General features: G+C 56.5%; 1 protein-coding gene and 2 long non-coding RNA genes across 20 annotated transcripts in view, besides 4 other annotated features; 1 reads left to right on the forward strand and 2 right to left on the reverse strand.

Moving 5' to 3' along the window:
- The window catches only part of LOC107987209 (uncharacterized), a 19,620-nt gene extending 16,665 nt beyond the window's left edge, over positions 1-2,955 (reverse strand). For both annotated transcript variants that reach the window (XR_001750915.3, XR_001750914.3), the window contains exon 1: positions 2,849-2,955. This is a non-coding gene — a long non-coding RNA (uncharacterized LOC107987209). The remainder of the gene's footprint in view (positions 1-2,848) is intronic.
- LOC102723342 (uncharacterized) lies at positions 821-5,422 on the forward strand. 4 transcript variants are annotated; one of them, XR_429419.5, is made up of 3 exons: positions 821-2,903; positions 3,870-4,013; positions 4,398-5,422. It is a non-coding gene; the product is annotated as an uncharacterized LOC102723342 (long non-coding RNA). The 4 variants fall into 4 exon arrangements; XR_007064364.1 differs by lacking the exon at positions 821-2,903 and adding an exon at positions 2,985-3,273; XR_007064362.1 differs by having other exon boundaries at positions 3,870-5,422.
- Positions 3,553-4,103: an enhancer, noted in NCBI's record as "H3K4me1 hESC enhancer chr14:105233884-105234434 (GRCh37/hg19 assembly coordinates)". NCBI's record gives its function as "activates a minimal SCP1, AML or CMV promoter by ChIP-STARR-seq in naive H9 embryonic stem cells {active_cell/tissue: H9 hESC(naive)}" and the evidence as "EXISTENCE:reporter gene assay evidence [ECO:0000049][PMID:30033119]".
- Positions 4,104-4,655: an enhancer, noted in NCBI's record as "H3K4me1 hESC enhancer chr14:105234435-105234986 (GRCh37/hg19 assembly coordinates)". NCBI's record gives its function as "activates a minimal SCP1, AML or CMV promoter by ChIP-STARR-seq in naive H9 embryonic stem cells {active_cell/tissue: H9 hESC(naive)}" and the evidence as "EXISTENCE:reporter gene assay evidence [ECO:0000049][PMID:30033119]".
- Positions 4,104-4,852: a biological region, named in NCBI's record as "Sharpr-MPRA regulatory region 15301".
- Positions 4,558-4,852: an enhancer, noted in NCBI's record as "tiled region #15301; HepG2 Activating DNase unmatched - State 1:Tss, and K562 Activating DNase unmatched - State 5:Enh". NCBI's record gives its function as "activates a minimal TATA promoter and a strong SV40 promoter by Sharpr-MPRA in HepG2 and K562 cells {active_cell/tissue: HepG2 | K562}" and the evidence as "EXISTENCE:reporter gene assay evidence [ECO:0000049][PMID:27701403]".
- Positions 5,355-12,597, reverse strand: part of AKT1 (AKT serine/threonine kinase 1) — a 26,400-nt gene continuing 19,157 nt past the window's right edge. For all 14 annotated transcript variants that reach the window (NM_001014431.2, NM_001014432.2, NM_001382430.1 and 11 more), the window contains 10 exons: positions 11,658-11,805; positions 11,082-11,213; positions 10,944-11,009; positions 9,918-9,986; positions 9,461-9,586; positions 9,257-9,385; positions 8,884-9,098; positions 8,371-8,458; positions 6,751-6,853; positions 5,355-6,426 (listed from right to left, as the gene is read on the reverse strand). In NM_001014431.2, coding sequence (NP_001014431.1) covers positions 6,347-6,426; positions 6,751-6,853; positions 8,371-8,458; positions 8,884-9,098; positions 9,257-9,385; positions 9,461-9,586; positions 9,918-9,986; positions 10,944-11,009; positions 11,082-11,213; positions 11,658-11,805 — 1,156 coding nt within the window. In that variant the 3' untranslated portion in view covers positions 5,355-6,346. The remainder of the gene's footprint in view (positions 6,427-6,750; positions 6,854-8,370; positions 8,459-8,883; positions 9,099-9,256; positions 9,386-9,460; positions 9,587-9,917; positions 9,987-10,943; positions 11,010-11,081; positions 11,214-11,657; positions 11,806-12,597) is intronic.

Genomic DNA, 12,597 nt, shown 5'->3' on the forward strand with positions numbered 1-12,597 from the left:
ATTCTCCTGCCTCAGCCTCCTGAGTAGCTGGGACTACAGGTGCCCGCCACCACGCTCGGTGAATTTTTTGTATTTTTAGTAGAGACGAGGTTTCACCGTGTTAGCCAGGATGGTCTCAATCTCCTGACCTCGTGATCTGCCCACCTCGGCCTCCCAAAGTGCTGGGATTACAGGCATGAGCCACTGCGCCCAGCTGACCCTGTCTTTAAATATGTATATATATAATCTCTTTAAAAGACAATTGCCTAGGCCAGCTGCAGTGGTTCACACCTGTAATTCCAACACTTTGGGAGGCTGAGGCAGGCGAATCACCTGAGGTCAGGAGTTCAAGGTTTGGCCAACATGGCAAAAACCCATCTCTACTAAAAATACAAAAATTAGCCAGGTGTGGTGGCGGCGCACGCCTGTAATCCCAGCTATTGAGGAGGCTGAGGCAGGAGAATCCCTTGAACCCAGGAGGCAGAGGTTGCAGTGACCCGAGATCGCGCCATTGCACTCCAGCCTGGGCAACAGAGCAAGACTATCTTAATTTTAAAAAAGGCCAGGCGTGGTGGCTCATGCCTGTAATCCCAGCACTTTGGGAGGCTGATGCTGGCAGATCACCTGAGGTCAGGAGTTCGAGACCAGCCTGACCAACATGGTAAAACCCTGTCTGTACTAAAAATACAAAAAAAAAAAAATTAGCTGGGCATGGTGGTGGGCGCCTGTAATCCCAGCTACTCAGGAGGCTGAGGCAGGAGAATCGCTTGAACCTCGGAGGCAGAGGTTGCAGTGAGCCTAGATCGCGCCATTGCACTCCAGCCTGGGTGACAGAGCGAGACTCTGTCTCAAAGAAAAAAAAAAATTTTTTTTAATTGTCTATACAGATGCTCCTCAGCTTACAATGGGTTACATCCAGATAAATCCATCACGAGTTGAAAATATTGTTAAGGGCCAGGCGCAGTGGCTCATGCCTGTAATCCCAGCACTTTGGGAGGCCGAGGCGGGTGGATCACGAGGTCAGGAGATAGAGACCATCCTGGCTAACACAGTGAAACCCCGTGTCTACTAAAAATACAAAAAATTAGCCGGGCGTGTTGGCAGGCTCCTGTAGTCCCAGCTACTCGGGAGGCTGAGGCAGGAGAATGGCATGAACCCAGGAGGCAGAGCTTGCAGTGAGCCGAGATCGCGCCACTGCACTCCAGCCTGGGTGACAGAGCGAGACTCCGTCTCAAAAAAAAAAAAAAAAAAAAAAAAGAAAATATTGTTAAGGAGCATACTGAATGTGTATAGCTTTTGCAACATTGTAAAGTTGAAAAATTATAAGTTTAACCATTGTAAGTCAGGGACCATCTATACATAAAGAACTCCTAACACGCAGCAATTAAAAAAAAAATCCAAAAATGGGCAAAGGACTTGAGTAAACATTTGTCCAAAGAATATATAAAAACAGCACACACATGAAAAGATGCTCAACATCACTGATTATCAGGGAAATGCAAATCAAAACCACAATGAGATACCACCTCACACCCATCAAGATAGCTACTATTTGAAAATAAAACAAGTGTCGGGGAGGATATGGAGAAATTGGAACATTTGTGCACTGCCGGTGGGAATGTGAAATGGTGCAGCCAGTGCAGAAAACAGTAGGCAGTTCCTCAAAACACTAAACATAAGCCTGGCACAGTGGCTAATGCCTGTAATCCTAGTGGTTTGGAAGGCTGAGACAGGAGGATCACTTGAGCCCAGGAGTTTGAGACCAGCCTGGGCAACATAGTGAGACTATGTCTCAAAAAAATGAAAGGAAAATTAAAACTGAACACAGAATTACTGTTTGATCCAGCAATTCCACTTCTGGGTACAGACACAAAATAATTGACAGCAGGGACGTGAACAGGTATTTGTACACAAGTTTGTAGCAGCATTATCCCCAGTAGCCAAAAGATGGAAACAACCCAAATGTTCATCACAGGACAAATGAATAAACAAAATGTGGTCTATACATGCAATAAAATAGTATTCAGCCTTAAAAAGAAATAAAATTCTGACATGCTACAACACAAATGAACCTTAAAGATACTATGACTGAGTGAAATAAGCCAGACACAAAAAGACAAACACTGCATGATCTCACGTATATGAAATCCCCAGAGGGCTGGGGAGCTACATTCATTCATTTATTCAAAATATATTTATTCTAAATGCAACACAGTATCCTGGATTGTATGTGTATACTGGAATAGAAAAAGAACATCAGTGGGAAAACTGGTAAAATCCAAAAAATAAGCCAATAAAGGAGATAAAATGAGACAATCGGCAATACTTATTTAATACAAAAAAAGGAAAGGAAAGGAGGAACAAAGAACAAATGGAATGTATAGAAAAAGAGCAAGATAGTACATTTAAGCTCAACCATATCAATAGTTGCATTAAATGTAAATGGTCTAGACACCTTAATTAATGGGCAATGATTGTTAGACTTTTTTTTTTAAATAACAACAAAAACCCTACATGCTGTCAGCCCCTTCTGTAGCTCTTTCCCAGACTTGCTAGAAGCAAAAGGATGAAATAATTATCTGTTGTATGATAAAGTCAGCCTTTGAACAGACATTCACTGGAAGTGACATCTTCTGGGAAGGCAGGCCTAGCCCTTATCCTGACATGCCCCAGTAGCACTCTCAGCTCCTGGGACCTCGTCTACAACATTGAGGCCCCCAGACCCAGAGACCTGCAGAGCCTTCAGTTACCCACACCTGCTGAAACATGGGAGGTCTAAGTGCTCAAGTCACTTTTATTATCTTCCTCCCTTCCAGGCCGGCCTTGTGCTGGAAAGAGCATGATGTGGGCATGTGAGAAACAAACTCACCCATCCACACCCGAAGAATGGACTCAGAGACCTCAGAGACCGGAGAACAGCAAAAGTGAGACTTTTAATGATAGTCTTGCAAGATTGGGTGCCTGATGAGCTGGCACACCCAGCACAGTTTCAACAAGCAATTTATCCCCTAGTGTGCAGGTCCCTCCCCCGGTTCTTCATAGGCTGAGTACTATGGGGTCACAACCTTCCTGGACGTCACCTATTGGTTGTTGGGCAGGGGCTTTAGGTGTTTTCTTTAGAGTTGTCTTGCTGCATTCTGTTGCAGCCCACAATGCATTGCAATCCTAGTTAGCTCAGGGGCTCTTCAAATATTTGACTTCTGACCTAAGTAGCTGGGCAGGCTGATACGAACAGACAAAGCGAGCTATTTTGGAGGCTAGTAAACTTTCATTTTAGACTAAACTTTGGTTCAGGTGAGGGAAACTAAGGGACGGGGGCTGGCGGTGACAAACAGGCGTTGGCTATCCAAGCAGGGGCCTAGTATATCCTGTTGCTTCCGTAGTTTGCTGACCTAAGCTGATTTTAGGCACTTTGTCTTGGAAATGGACACTTTATGCATTGTTTCCTTCGGGGTACCTCTGACACAGGAAGGAGAGCTTCCTCTTGGTTGGCGTATTCCTGTTACAACCTCTCCAGACAGCCCTCGCTGTTCGGCAGGCCCTGTTGGGGCTGCAGGATCCTGGCCCTCTCCACCCGCTCTGGCCTCGCTGGCCAGGACTGGACTGCCCCTTGCAAGGGCACCTGCACCTCCTGGAGTTTCCTCTCTGAGATGTGCATCTCCTTGCACATCTCACCCCTCACTGACACCCTCCACCCCACTCCTGGGATGCTGCCTCCTGCTGTAGATGGTTCTGTCTGGGGCTGCTAGGAGGGTCGGGAAATTCTCAGAGGGTCTCCATTTCTGCGTTCATTTTGTTAGGTCCTCAGCCACTTGTAACGGGGACATAACACAGGGTCATGTCTGTATTAATGCCAATGACGTTGAAGCCTCTCTCTCTCTGGACTATAGAACTATCCCTAAGAGGCCAGGTGTGGTGGCTCACACCTTATAATCCCAACGTTTTGGGAGGACAAGGCAGGAGGATCACTTGAGGCCCGGAGTTCAAGACCGGCCTGAACAACATAGCGAGACCCTATCTCTACCATAAAAAAGGTAAGAAATGGCCCTAAGGCAATCCTATATTGTCAGAGGGGGCCGTGCTGGGAGAAGCAGCCCATGCTTCTCAGCCGGGCTGTCTGGGAGATGCTGCGTCTGCCTGACCATTTCCATACCTTGGTTACTTTCAGCAATGCTTTGCTCAAAGTTTGTGGATATTGGAAGGGCATTGCTGTATTTTTTGGTTTCTAAGAGTCACATTATTGATAGATCTGAAATCCAGATGCCTCTCACCCTCGGAACATCATTTACTGTGTCATGTTTCGTGTATTTCCCGAAAAGCGGTATCAGTTTTGCGGCCTGTTAGAACTGAAGCAATAAGGGATCACCCAGAGGAGAGCTTCGGGCTGCTCCAGATGTGGCTGTTCTTGGCTCCCACAGACCCAGAACATCCTCGCCAGCCTGTGCTCCCTATGGGGCACCCCCTCCAGTGGAAGTGAGGGCAGCCACGCACCCCTGGGAATGCCTTAGAGAGGGGCCAATTGCCATCGCCAGGGGCCTGACTCTGCAACCATCCACACCTACGGGGAGTCCATTTGAGAGATGAGGAAGCTGAAGCTCCAGGCCCCTGGCTCGTGCTGGTCACCCAACCACCCGGAACCTGGTCGCCAACCCGCTGTCAGTTGCTCGGCAGTGGACTCCTCTCCTGGCTCAGGGCGCGGTTCCGGCAGGCGTCCACCAGGTGGCAGCACCGGCACATTCTGCAGGCTGTTCCGGCTCAGAGCTCGATGTAGTGCTCTGGGGTAACCTGGGCCCCAGCCTGTCCCCTCCCGCCCCCTGCAGCCCCTCCTCCCACCGCCTGCAGCCCCTCCTCCCGCTCTGTCCAGCTTCGAACAGGCCACTCAGGCCTCCCAGCCTTACTTCCACCGTGGCCCAGGCCATGACCTTGGCCCCAACTCTGGGCCCTGCCCTATCTGTCCTTCCTGGTGGTCTGTCTCATTCACTGCCCTACCCAGGGGAACAGCACCTGGGGCTGGGGGGCAGATGGCCACGTGGTCCAATGGTCTCCTTCATGGCTGGGGTGAAGCTGGGTGGGGTCAAGGGAAGAAGAGGTGGATCCCAACGGGGGCAGGGCCAGCCAGGGCCTCCCATCTCCCCTCAGGCCAGGCCTCTGGAGATGGGGGTGGAACACCTTCCATGGGAGGCTGCCCCTGGGAACAGGCCTGTATACTCCCGCCTCGGCCCACCACACAGCCTGTCCCCAAACCTGTTGGGGTGGCGGTGCCCACCAGGAGGAGCTGGGGAGGACCAGCTGCTCTGAGGATGCTGCTTCCCTCCCAGGACTCCCCACTCCCTCCCTGGCCACCCACTCTTCCACCCAGCAAAGTGAGCCAAAAATTTGAAAAGCAACTTTTATTGAAGAATTTGGAGGGAAGGTTCCATATTATATTATAATAGTAAAAATACTAAAGTTGAATGTTGTAAAAAAACGCCGTGGTGCAGCGGCAGCGGCAGCGTCTGGCCAGGAGGCGTGGAGGGGCCCAGGGATGGCCACCCCCACAGGGAGTCAGGGAGGGCCTGGGGCGACAGCGGAAAGGTTAAGCGTCGAAAAGGTCAAGTGCTACCGTGGAGAGATCATCTGAGGGGGAGGCTCCCGGTGGGACAGTCACCAAGAACTGTGACACAGAAGGGGAAGGGGGAGGGCTTTCCTGTCACAAAGATTAAAAACCCCCAAAATGCATTTGAACAACATAATACACAATAACAAATTTAAACCTTGCTCCTCTGTCCCACTGGGTAAACCCTGGCCCATCCCCCATCCCTGGTCCCATCCCAGGGGCCCAGCCTCCGATGACGTCCTCAGAGACACGGCCTTAGTGCTGGGGGGCTGCTGTGTGCCTGCCACCCCCAGGAGAGGGTGCTGGCCAGCATACCATAGTGAGGTTGCATCTGGTGCCACCAGGTTGAACTGAGGCCCAGGGCCCCAGAGAGATGACAGATAGCTGGTGACAGACAGCCCAGGGCGGCTGGCTGACAGAGTGAGGGGACACATGGGCAGGACCTGCCCGGCCCCCCAATGCCACATTGCGCATAGCTGCAGAAGTCCTTAACATTTCCCTACGTGAATCGGATTGTTCTGAGGGCTGAGGCCACACCCGGAGAACAAACTGGATGAAATAAATTAAAACCCGCAGGATAGTTTTCTTCCCTACCCCGCTGCGGGGGAGGGTGCTGCCCACAGCACAAAAACGTCTTTCCATCTGGGCTCGAGAGGACAGCGTGGCTTCTCTCAAATGCACCCGAGAAATAAAAACCATTAAATACAGATCATGGCACGAGGCCGCCTCTCCATCCCTCCAAGCTATCGTCCAGCGCAGTCCACCGCCGCCTCAGGCCGTGCCGCTGGCCGAGTAGGAGAACTGGGGGAAGTGGGGCCTGCGCTCGCTGTCCACACACTCCATGCTGTCATCTGTGGGTGTAGACAGCTCAGACCCCGGTGCCCCACCTCCCTGCCACCTCCACCCACCCACAGCTCCAGTAGGAAGCCAACCTCTTAAAGCACGGCCAGCACGCTGCCATACTGCCAGGAAACTGAGACAGGGCCCCACAGATTGACACAGGGACCTGGGCCCTCAGAGCACTGCCTCCCACCCTGATCATTGGCACTCTCCAAAAGGAACCTTTTTAAATATTTAGATTTTAAAACATCTGAAGCCAAAAAAGCTGAACACTGCAGGCCTCTCTGAGTGTGGAGAGAAAAGGGAGTGGGCGGGGGCAGGCAGTGGCCCCTCACCTTGGTCAGGTGGTGTGATGGTGATCATCTGGGCCGTGAACTCCTCATCAAAATACCTGGTGTCAGTCTCCGACGTGACCTGGGGCTTGAAGGGTGGGCTGAGCTGCAGAGGTGGGCAGACGGGACAGTCATGAGCTTCGCTCCCCACTCCCAGCACACCCTCAAGTGTGCTCAAGACCTTCAAAGCACCTGGATCTCCAAGGGGTCTCCAGGCAGGACTGATGTCAGAGAGCAGCAAGCCACCAGCCCCCCACAGAGGCAGCTCTGGGAGGGAGGGACATGAGGGGTGCAGGAGCACGGAGACAACCCTCAACAGCTGAGACGCAAAGCTGCCCTCACAGCAGCCCCAGCAGGCGACAGGAGGTAGTGCAGCCCAGCTCTGAGAGACCCTCCCTGCTACCAGGAGGTGATAACTTTATTTTTCCTTTTTCTTTCTTGTTTTCTTATTTTTCTTATTGGTCTTCTTGTAAATTGGGAAAGAGGGAGACTGTGGAACAAGGTGCACAGGATGAGCCCACCCTGCCTCCATGGCTCAGGGACTACAGGACCACAGCCTGCTGGCATCTGGCTGCAGACAGGACTCTCAATGACCCAGGATGAAGGGTGACTATAAGGTGATGTGCACACGTGAGGAGCTGCCAGAGAGCCCCTCAGGTCCCACAGTCAAGGACCCCCTCAAGCACTGCCCCACCCCAGAGTCTGGGCTGGGCACCAGCATTGTCCATTGTCAATTAGCAAGGTCTCTGGTCAAGGCTGGGCAGAGGTTGAGCACTGCCCAGGCCCCCCATACCCTTGGAGGGCAGGGCAGGAGGGTGGCAGGCCTCAAGGCAGGAACGGGGACCAGGACCAGGGCACCCTGTGTTAATGGGAGAACAGGTGCCCAGCTGGGTCCCAGGGCTGCCCAGCCCGACCAGCTGCACACAGCCTAGGACAGGCATTCAGGGGAGGGGCAGGCTGGGAACGGGGCAGAAGCACACCTGGTGACAGGGCACCCAGCATCTCAGAGTGCAGGCTTCCGAACCCAGCTGGCAGACCCCATCAGCTGGGGTGATGGCCAGGGCTCCTAGGGTCCCTGAAAGATGAGCACCCAGGATGGCGACTCATGCAGAAAGAGCTGCCTCCCTCCAGGGCGGACTCCCCCATGTGCCAGAAAAGTAGGTGCTGTCCCTGTCCCTGCACAGCCAGAAATAGGGCTGGGCTCTCCTTGCGGCAGAAGGGATTGAGGTCAAACAGGAGGAACTCGTGGAGGCCAAGGGGCAGCACCCCTGGTCCACCACCAGCCAGCCTTCACTGCACAGCGTCAGGGAAGGGAACCCCAAGGCTGGCACTCAGAGTGTGACACACCTCCGAGGGGAGGAGGAAACTCAGAGTGTGACACACCTCCGAGGGGAGGAGGAAATGAGGACCAGGCCAGTTTCCTGGTGGAACCCGGCAGTGCCAGAGCCTCTGAGCACCAGGCGCTGAGGTTGGTGCAGCAAGGCCCTCCTTGTACCAGGACTGCAGCAGGCTCCTGAGGTGAGGGCGAGTGTGTGGGAAATCTGGCGAGCGTGCCACGTGCATGCGTGAGTGTGGATATGTGGGGAGCATGCGTGCGCGTGAATATGCGGGGAGCAGCCGCACCTTCTTCTCGTACACGTGCTGCCACACGATACCGGCAAAGAAGCGATGCTGCATGATCTCCTTGGCGTCCTCGGAGCCCCCGCCAAGCCTGCAGGCAGGAAACAAGGCCACAGTGTCGGTACCGCCACCTGCCCAGGCCCTGGGTTCAGGCCCCTTCCTCCTGTGATGTAGGGCCCGCCAGACAGGACGTTCCGGGGCCAGGGAGGGGAGCCGGTGGTGCAGCGTCCCTGAGCAGCTGTGGGTAGCAAAGCACCACAGAGCTCACGGCAGGGCAGGGGCTTCCTGAGTGGGTGGGTGCAGGCTGCAGGGTTGGGGACAGAGGCCCAACTGACCCCGGCCTGCCCGCCACTCTGCTTGGGCCTGAGGCTTTGGAGATCAGCCCTGGCCAAGGACATCAAGCTTTGGCTATCAGTGTAGTCTGGGAGGTGCCAGGACCGCCTGGCGCAGGGGCAGGTGCAGCCTGGGGATGAGGGGATGGAGGTGTAGCCTGTAGCTGGGATGGGCGGCCCTCACCTCTGCTTGGGGTCCTTCTTGAGCAGCCCTGAAAGCAAGGACTTGGCCTCGGGACCAAGCGTGCGCGGGAAGCGGATCTCCTCCATGAGGATGAGCTCAAAAAGCTTCTCATGGTCCTGGTTGTAGAAGGGCAGGCGACCGCACATCATCTCGTACATGACCACGCCCAGCCCCCACCAGTCCACTGCACGGCCGTAGTCATTGTCCTCCAGCACCTGCACGGGTGGCAGATGGGCAGGACTCGGCATCAAGGGGTGTCCGGGACACTGCCGGGGGAGGTGTGACGTGCTTGGGGCACAGAGAGGACACAGCATTGCGTGTGCTCAGGACGTGGGGACGCAGCAACGCGTATGCACGCAGGTGGGGCGCACACCTCGGGGGCCAGGTACTCAGGTGTGCCGCAAAAGGTCTTCATGGTGGCACCGTCCTTGATCCCCTCCTTGCACAGCCCGAAGTCTGTGATCTTAATGTGCCCGTCCTTGTCCAGCATGAGGTTCTCCAGCTAGGGGAAAGGTGGCCTCAGGTCAGTGCCGCCAGGCCCCCAGGGCCCTGCCCCCCTGCCTGCCCGCCAGCGCACCTTGAGGTCCCGGTACACCACGTTCTTCTCCGAGTGCAGGTAGTCCAGGGCTGACACAATCTCAGCGCCATAGAAGCGGGCCCGGTCCTCGGAGAACACACGCTCCCGGGACAGGTGGAAGAACAGCTGCGGGAGGCGCAACCTGAGGCACAGCCGTGGCTCGGGCCTCTGCCCCCATGGCCTGCAGGGCTGGGGTTTCTCAGACCGGGTCTCGGCATTGCACAGGGAAGGGACCAGCCACCAGAGGGCACGGGGGCCTGGAAAGTCTCAGAAGCCCTAACTCAGCAGGAACAAGTCACCCCACAGCAGGCAGCTGCCTGGGCAGGCATCACACCACCCACCCAGCAGGGAGCACCGTCTGGTGCCATGGAGAGTAGCCGAGGCTCCGGGAAGGACCGGCCCCACCATGGGCGGCCCACAGGCCGCGAAGTCCATCCCCCGCAGCCCCAGCCCCTACCTCGCCCCCGTTGGCGTACTCCATGACAAAGCAGAGGCGGTCGTGGGTCTGGAAAGAGTACTTCAGGGCCTGCAAGGAAGGGGAGCTGGAACTGCGGCCCCACAGGCAGGACGGCAGCCCCGCACCACGCTGCCCGACACCACGCTGCTTGATACCACGTCGCCTGATACCACACCGCCCGTAGCCCCACACCACACTGCCCGACACCACGCTGCCTGATACCACACCGCCCGATACCACACTGCCCCACACCACACACCCCATCACACTGCCCCACACCATACACCCCCACATCACACTGCCCCCATGCCACGCTGCCCCACACCACACTGCCCCACACCACACTGCCTCATGCCACGCCACCATCAGGCTGGGCCCCGGCAGCCCCTGAGGTGCCAAGGAGTGTTTGAAAGGTGAGCAAGGTGGCCTGGGCTCAGGTCCTCCAGGGTGAGTTGGGACCTCAGCAGGGGACAGTGCTCCCAGCACCAGGGCCTTCGCAAAGGGAGGACACACCCTCCCAGGCGAGACCCACCCTCCCGCCTTCCACCACAGGCGACTGTGCTTTTAAAGCAAAGGCCCCATCTGCAGGAGAATCGTCCCCAAACACAGTGACCTGGAACTAACCAAGTGGCTGGACCCTGGCCCCCTTCACAGTAAATACCTCCTGGGCCAAGTCCCCAGAACAGGTTCTGCAGGACAGAGCCCGGGCCTCAACAAAAGCCTGGCAGGCAGGGCTGCAGGGCATGGGGAGCTGGGGCCTCCTGGAGCCTCGGCAGAGTGCAAGGAAGACCAGGGCCACCTGCCCCACCCACCTGCCCGCACACGGGAGCAGCGAGCACAGCCCCTAGCCCACACTGGGCACCTCCACAGCCTGACCCTCCAGGGCAGGCCTGTCTCACCAGCGGCGGAGTCCACGGTGTGTAAAGCCCTCACGTGCCCAAGAAGACAGGACATCGTCCCCTAGAGACAGCCCCAGGAGTCGCTACCTGGCCCCAGCCCTTCAGCCCCATCTGGGCTCCCACTCACTGTGAGGAAGGGGTGCCTGGAGTTCTGCAGGACGCGGTTCTCGGTGAGTGTGTGGGCCACCTCGTCCTGTAAAGCAGGGCTGGGTGAGCTGCCACCCCGCACCCTCATCTCCACCCTGCCCCACCGCCCCGGCCCCACCTTGGCCACGATGACTTCCTTCTTGAGGATCTTCATGGCGTAGTAGCGGCCTGTGGCCTTCTCCTTCACCAGGATCACCTTGCCGAAAGTGCCCTTGCCCAGCAGCTTCAGGTACTCAAACTCGTTCATGGTCTATGGGCAGGCACCAGGGTCAGCAAGCGGCGCTGCCAACAGTGCCCAGCTGGTCGGCATGCGTGGGGTGGCATGAGGGGCCCCAGAGTCGGAGGCAGAGCCAGGAGAGGCGTCCACTTCACACCTGGTGGCCTACTGGGCTCAGCGGGGAGTCCAGGCTTACAGGGAACACATGGCTGCGGCCCCAGCTCAGAGCATGGGGTTCAGGGAAGGGTGGGGTAACATTGCCCAAGCCTGGCAGGGCTCAGCAACCCCAGTTTTCCTCTGACATGGGGAAGAGGACCCACCTGGGAAGCAGCTGCGCCCTACATGGAAAACCGGCCTAGGTGGAGATGCCGTGGAGTGCTGAGTGTCTCCTGGGCCGAGCTGGGACCCCATGACCCACCCAGCCCTCCACAGTCCAAGGCAGCCCCAGGCACAGGCAGAAGTGGGGACAGGCCTCACCACGCGGTGCTTGGGCTTGGCCAGGGACACCTCCATCTCTTCAGCCCCTGAGTTGTCACTGGGTGAGCCCGACCGGAAGTCCATCTCCTCCTCCTCCTGCTTCTTGAGGCCGTCAGCCACAGTCTGGATGGCGGTTGTCCACTCCTCCCTGCAGGAGGTCAGGTGAGGCTGCAGGCCTGTACCAGATCAGGAGCTCCACCCCACGTCTTTCACCCACCCGCCAGCCTCACAAGCGTGGTTCCACAGCTGTCGGGGTTCCCAGAGACAGCCCTGAGGAGGCCACCACTTGACCTGGTCTGGCCACATACACTCAGGGTCACGAAGCCCTCTTGGACGTGGGGGACACCCAGGCTTAGCCCCCCAGCAGGACTCTGTCCCCACAACCGGACTCCAACCCCCAGCAGGACTCCGCCCCCCAGCAGGACTCCGCCCCCCCCAAGCAGGACTCCGCCTCCCAAGCAGGACTCCGCCCCCCAAGGAGGACTGGCCCTCTCCACCGGGTTTTTCTTTTTTTGAGACGGAGTCTTGCTCTATCGCCCTGGCTGGAGTGCAGTGGTAAAATCTCGGCTCCTGCAGCCTCTGCCTCTCGGGTTCAAGCGATTCTTGTGCCTCAGCCTCCCAAGTAGCCGGGATTACAGGTGTGCACCACCACACCCAGCTAAGTTTTATATTTTTAGTAGAGACGGGGGTTTCACCATGTTGGCAGGCTAGTCTCAAACTCCTGGTCTCAAGTGATCTGCGCACCTCGGCCTCCCAAAGTGCCGAGATTATAGACGTGAGCCACTGCACCCGGTCCCTAGCCAGTTTTTATCTCCAGCCTCAGTTTCCCCACCCAAACCCCACAGGCAGGACTGGGCCAGTTTCCAAACTGGGCTCTGAGGAGGGCCTGGGAGCACTGGGGAGTGAGGATGGCTACAGGCAGAGGTGCCAGCACCCCGCC

The sequence above is a fragment of the Homo sapiens genome, chromosome 14 (assembly GCF_000001405.40).
Source record: "Homo sapiens chromosome 14, GRCh38.p14 Primary Assembly".
Lineage (NCBI taxonomy): Eukaryota > Metazoa > Chordata > Mammalia > Primates > Hominidae > Homo > Homo sapiens.